Source organism: Homo sapiens, chromosome 2 (assembly GCF_000001405.40).
Source record: "Homo sapiens chromosome 2, GRCh38.p14 Primary Assembly".
Taxonomy (NCBI): Eukaryota; Metazoa; Chordata; class Mammalia; order Primates; family Hominidae; genus Homo; species Homo sapiens.
In genome coordinates this window covers 126,938,359-126,944,840 of record NC_000002.12, presented here as the reverse complement: position 1 = coordinate 126,944,840, position 6,482 = coordinate 126,938,359, and the positions used below count along the sequence as shown (strand labels likewise).

The 6,482-nt window shown below is 45.2% G+C and overlaps 1 annotated feature.

Annotated features, from left to right (window-relative positions):
• Positions 1,710 to 2,614: an enhancer, noted in NCBI's record as "OCT4-NANOG hESC enhancer chr2:127699803-127700707 (GRCh37/hg19 assembly coordinates)". NCBI's record gives its function as "activates a minimal SCP1, AML or CMV promoter by ChIP-STARR-seq in naive and primed H9 embryonic stem cells {active_cell/tissue: H9 hESC(naive and primed)}" and the evidence as "EXISTENCE:reporter gene assay evidence [ECO:0000049][PMID:30033119]".

Sequence of the window (6,482 nt, the reverse complement as noted above, 5' to 3'; positions counted from 1 at the left end):
TTTACTGTTAGATGACACCCACGTTGTCCAGTCATGTTTCCCCACAGCCATCACTTCTTTCACCAGGCTTAGCATAAAAAACACAGGTTTTGCTATTTCAGGGACTCTTCATTTGCTTATTAAGGCTCCCATGTCATGTAAAGTTTCTTGAATAAATTTGTATGCTTTTCTCCTGTTGATCTGTCCTTTCAGTTTTATTTTTGGTCCTAGCCAGGGACCCCAAAAGGGTTGAGGAAACCTTCCTCCCCTACAGGAGGTGGGGAGGGATGACCAGGCAGAGCACGGAGGATTTTTAGTGCAGCGAACTATGCCGTATGATACTATAATGGTGGATACATGTTGTTATGCATTTGTCCAAACCCACAGAATATGCATCATCCAGACTGAATCCGCATGCCAACTATGGTCTTTGGATGATCATTGTAAGCAGACAGGGAGGGTCTCCAGGGACTAGGAATTTAACCAACTTCAGCAATCAGCCTGTTTTACAGTCTCCTACCTTGCAGCTTGTTTTTCCCCAAACAGTATGTGGAATGCAGTCACCTAGTCAGTTGAAACCAGGTCCTGACAGACCCCAGCAACTTATAAATGGCCCCGAGTGAATGTTATCCTCATGACCATGCTAAAGTCTCCATGCTGGGAGTAGCTGTAGCTTCATTACCATAAGATGCAACCCATGCGCTGGCATGATGACTCACTGTGTCTGCGCCACTGGGCCCCTCCTCTATATGCAGCTATGCACCCTCTCCCCACCCTATCACCCCATAAGACTCTCCTGTCCCTTTTTCTCAGGGAGACACTGCTTTGGAGAATCCTCCCAGTGCTCTTCTTATTTGTGCCAAGTAATGAAACTATTGATCAAAACCTGTGTTCTCATAGGGAGTCATCTGTTACCTGCCAGGCAAACTGTTACTGAAGCACTGAGGGTTTGGTCTAGGTCCTGCTGTTTGCTGCACAGGAAGCCAATCACTGAGACAACAAGTACTGCCAGGGAAGAAGGCTTTAATTGGGTGCTGCAGCCAAGGAAGATGGGAGCTCAGTCTCAAATCCATCTCTCCAACAGATTAAAATTGGGGTGCTTATACAGCCAGGAATTAGGGAGGGGTAAGGAAGTAATCATGATGGATGAGGGGGCTGACATCTCATTATCTGGATGTGGAAATCTGATAAGTTTTAGTTTCTTGCCTGAGAGTCAGTTTTCTGAGAAAGAAACTCGGATGAGACAAATTACAAATTTTAACCCTGGGGTGGGAGTCTATTTCTATGTTTATTCAAATAACCATAAGTATTAGTTTGATAGGACAATTGGACTGGTTTCAGAATGAACTCCGTTTTTTTCCTGGGAACATAGTGACATGTCAGCACAGGCTCATCAACTGTAGCAATGCACTGCTGTGGTGAGAGACACTGATAGGTGGGGAGGCTGTGCATGTGTGCGGCAGGGGGTGTATGGGAACTCTGTGCCTTCTGCTCAGTTTTGCTATGAGCCTAAAACTATCCTAAAAAATCAAGTCTATTAAAAAAATCCATTAGAAGGAGAGCGGCCAGGATATCTGGGAAGGCTCCCAGTGAAGGCATGTCTGGGACAAAGGGAAGGAATGAGGGTGCCAGGTAGTGAGGCTGAGGGTGACAGGCATCTCTAACAGCTGCCCTGAGATATCCGAAGGATTGTCCCACAACAGGGAGTCTAGCTCATTTTGCCTTACTGTAAAACATATAACCACAAAGGATGAACAGGCATTTAGGGCAGCAGATGTTTGCTCAAGAGAAGAAAAATCTTCAAAGTTGACAGGCTCAACAGTGGTGCAGCTGCCCCTGAGGGAGCCCGTCCCACCACCAGGGGTGCATCGGGGCTTAGAGACCCCTTGTCAGCATGTGGCAGGAGGGCCCCGCAGGGCTGTGAGGGCCTTTCCCATGCAAAATTGTATTTTTCCTAGCTTTTCTCAGTTCAGTTCTTTCTGGACTTATAACAACTTACTAGAATCCAGAAAATGCCTGGGTATAACTTTGAGAACTGTGGAAATTCTTCCTAAAAGCTCCTTTGATTTCTCTTTGAAATGCTAAAATATGATGTAAGCCTCATGGCTGTGGAGCTCACAGCTATTCAATTCCTTCCACAGGTGATAAAAAGCATCCAGCCTGGAGCATAGATGTGTGAAAAGAGATTAGGCAGTGTGTGAAAACACTTCCCATCAGCCATTTGACGACTTTTTTGAAATGCTAATGTCAGCCCTCCAGAGCTGTTATCTTGCAATTCACACCTATTCAATTCTACATCCAGGTAAATAAAGCAACCCCTGGTGAACACAGAAGTGTGAAGCCAAACTGAGGCAAACTGTGAAAATCCTGGACTTAACTCATCCCAAGGGACAAGGAAAAATGCAATTATCTTCCTTCTTCATCCAATATCATTTACTTTTGTGAAAATTTTGAGCTTGAATGGCTGCACGAGATAACTACCATTAACTGAGCACCTGCTACAAGCCAGGGACAATGTCAGTTCTATTTTACATTCAAATCTCTCCACAACCATGTATTTTAAGTATTATTAGTTCTGTTTTCCAATGTGTAAATCACAGTTAACATAGATTAAATAGTTTTCCCAAAGACATTGAAGGAATGAAGCATATACCATCCTAAAATATGCCGGACTGGTGTATTGATTATTTCAAGTGGAAAATAGTAAATATGTAGTTTCAGAAAGGGCTAGCTGACCTGTCTTCTGCATGCAGCAAACCATTACGAGTCCTCTGGGAGGGGTACCCTCACAGTACCAGGGTGAGAAAATAGCCCTTATCACTAGAGGCTGGGAATTGGGGCTACAATGGACCTGAATAAACATACTTAACAAAGTGTGAACCCAAAATGTCTGAGACAGGGTTCAACCAATTTAGAAAGTTTATTTGCCAACATTAAGGATGTACCCATGACACAGCCTCAGGTGACATGTGCCCAAGGTGGCACAGCTTGGTTTTATACATTTTGGGGAGACATGAGACATCAGTCAGTGTGTGTAAGATGTACATTGGTGGCCGGGCGCGGTGGCTCACGCCTGTAATCCCACCAACTTTGGGAGGCCGAGGCGGGTGGATCATGAAGTCAGGAGATCGAGACCATCCTGGCTCACATGGTGAAGCCCCATCTCTTCTAAAAAGACAAAAAATTAGCCAGGTATGGTGGCGGGCGCCTGTAGTACCAGCTACTCGGGAGGCTGAGGCAGGAGAATGGCGTGAACCCGGGAGGCAGAGCTTGCAGTGAGCCGAGATCGTGCCATTGCACTCCAGCCTGGGCGACAGAGTGAGACTCTGTCTCAAAAAAAAAAAAAAAAAAAAAAAAAGATGTACTTTGGTATGGTCCAGAAAGGCAGGACACCTTGAGGCTGGGGAGGGGGCTTCCAGGTCATAGGTAGGTAAGGAACAAATGGTTACATTCTTTGGTGTCTCTGATTAGCCTTTCACTGAATACACCATTTACATAAGTCACTTATGCCTTAGTCTTGCTTAGTGAAATAACAAGGCAGAGGAAGCAATCAGATATGCATTTGTCTCATGTGAGCAGGGGGACGACTTTGAGTCCTGTCTGTCTTTTGTCCACAAGGGATTTCCTTGTGGGCAAACTGTGAGGGAGGTATGCAGCTTTTAAGAAAAAATCTCTTGTTAAGGAATAGAATGGGAGGCAGGTTTGCCTACATAGTACCTAGCTTCAGTTTTCCCTTTGGCTTACTGATTTTGGGGTCCTGTGATTTATTTTTCTTCCACAAAAGTAATGCTTATCTTTCTTCAGTTTTACCACCTCCCCATCCCCTATATATCTTCAAGTGAGTCCCCTGGAAATTTACTGCACTAGCCAGATCCCCTTTGTCCTGTCATTTCTTCTGAAATTTATGGTTCTTTGATTAAAAGTATAAAAGCATCTCCCTTTGGCCACTTCTTTGGACTCCACTCTCTTGTGAAGATCCCCATGTACATGTAAAACTAGTAAAATTGGTGGGCTTTCTTCTTCTTAATCTGCCTGGTGTCAATTTGGTTTCCAGATACAGCCAGAGAGCCCACTAAGAGCTAAAGGAGAGTTGGAGGGTGTCTGTGGCCCCTCTAGAGCACACAGTGGGAAAGTAATGAAGGCGGGGGGGTGCTGACATAAAAAAACTGAACAGTGATCTACCAAAATCTCAGAGATGTAGAGTACTTGTCAGGGTGGTAATGATATGGACAGGAGGCAGGGAAATTCTGGGCAGAAGAGGGCAGGTCCCTGGCAAGGGCCCCACCATCAAGTCTGGAGCCGCAGCCTAAAGTGAGAACTTGCATCCCTGTTTTCCAAAACCACCTGTGGCCTGCCCCGCCCCCCATCCTGTGCCCATAAAATCCCAGGCTCAACTGGCAGAGGGAGGACAAGAGGAGAAGCAGCTGGACATAGGAGACTATGGTTGGACGTCAGACAGAAGTGGCTTGACTTCAGAGGGAAGTAGCTTGATGGTGTAGCTTTGGAGAGGAGTTTGGCTGAGGATGGCTGGACTTTGGGGGAGTATTGCCTTCCCGCCTCATCCCCTTTTCAACTCCTTATCCTGCTGAGAGCCACTTTCATTGGCAATAAAATTCCCTGCATTTACCATTTTCAATTCATTTGTGTGACTTCATTTTTCCTGGACACTGGACAAGAACTTGGAGACATGAATGTGGGTGCAAAAGGCTGTCACACGAACCCTCCACTGAGCTGTTAACACTTAAGCCATCTGTGGATAGCAAAGTTAAAAGAGTACTGACTGTGACACTCCTCTGGGGCTTCAGGGGAGCCAGCTGGGGCTCAGTGTATAGGGGCAGCTCCCTATACACTGCTGTGGGGTTGGTACAAAGTTCATTCATGCTGGCACCCAAAAGTGACTGCCCCGGCTCCTGCACCCACTCACCTGTGTGCTCTCCCTCCCATGAGGGGTGAAGTGCAGTGGGTCTCAGTGAGTGGAATTCACCCCTGCTGGCATTGAAGCGGCAGCCTTTTTCCAGTGCCCCTGTGCTCCATTTCCCAACTGTGAAGGGGTCAGGTAATGTAGCTGCTTCAGTAATGGTAGCTGTGGCAACAAAGAGCTCCCAGATCTCAATGGCTTAAGACACAAAATAGTATTAATGGCTCAAGTTGGATGTGGTTGGCACTGGTTGGAGGACAATCTGCTCCATGCAGCCTTTCAAGGACCATGTTCCTCTGTCTTGTGGTGCTACCATCTTCAGCATGTGTGACCATGTGTGACCATCTGTGTTACTGCAGAAAGAATGTGAACAGAGTGGAGATTTTTATGGGCTAGGCCTGGAGGTGGTGTATACCACTTCTGCCCTCGTTATCTTAACCTTAACTCAGTCCCCTGGTCCCAGACTAAGTCCCAGGGGGCTCGTAAATGTAGTTAAATGTGTGTGTTCAGGAAGAAAATGGGAGGATTTGGGGAACACATATGTTGTCGTCATTTTTTTTCATTTTGAATGCTCAATGGGACACTGTATCTCACTCACAGTAGGCACCTAATATGCATTTTCACACTCAATAGATGAATGAGTGAATGATGGCTCAATTCCGTAGTAACAACAATCTAGTTGTAAGCAAACCGGAAAATCAAAGCTGGGTTCACTATGGCCATTGAAATCAATGTTGGTTTATTTAAAGCAGAGTGAAAATGAATCATAATATATTAGTCAGTACAAAATATACCAATAATATTGCTAATAGAAATTCCTTCATAGAGGTGAGGTAGATAAAGTCAGTTAATATGTGTAAAAGTGTGGGAACATATAGTAAGTTACATGTGTTAGCTATGACTAGCTGATGGGTCTCACCAAGTGGTCTTCAGTGAGACATCCTCAGTCTCCACTGGCTCTTGTCTGTTCTTTCTGCCCTTCTTAACCACATTCAGGAGTTTTTAGTAATAACTGGTATTGTTCTCAATGGAGGGGAGGTGCTCCCTTAAACATCTGGGAGGTTCTGAAACAGTCATGGTATTCATATTAATACAACCACTCAGAATGAAGTCCTGGGTTTTTAATTGGCATTTGACAAATTTGCAAAGGAAGGAGAGGCTCATTGACATGCTTATTAATGTCACTGTTTGAGGCCATTGAATGATGATAAATTTTAGGATAACTAGCTACTTTTCTTCTAAAACCCTTGTTTCTCTGGGCTTGTGTCTACCCTTTCACACGGGATGCTGGGTCTTGCTTACCAGTGCCTCCATTTGGCAGATTATTCTCTCTGGAGGCTTGATGTTGTCCAGTCAGGAGAAAGGGGCATGAGTTTAGGCATCTTGGGGAAAGGGGTTGAAACTCAATTAGCCTTCCCATGGAGACTCTTATGATGAACACTAAAAGGAGAGTCAGAGATGCAGAAATAGAGAAAAGGCCTGGGAGAATGAGATTTCATATAGGAGGCCACATTCAAAATGAGAGTGATAGATCATTTCAGTGGAAGGGCATGTGCTGACTGGGCTTAGTGCATTCAGCACTGCC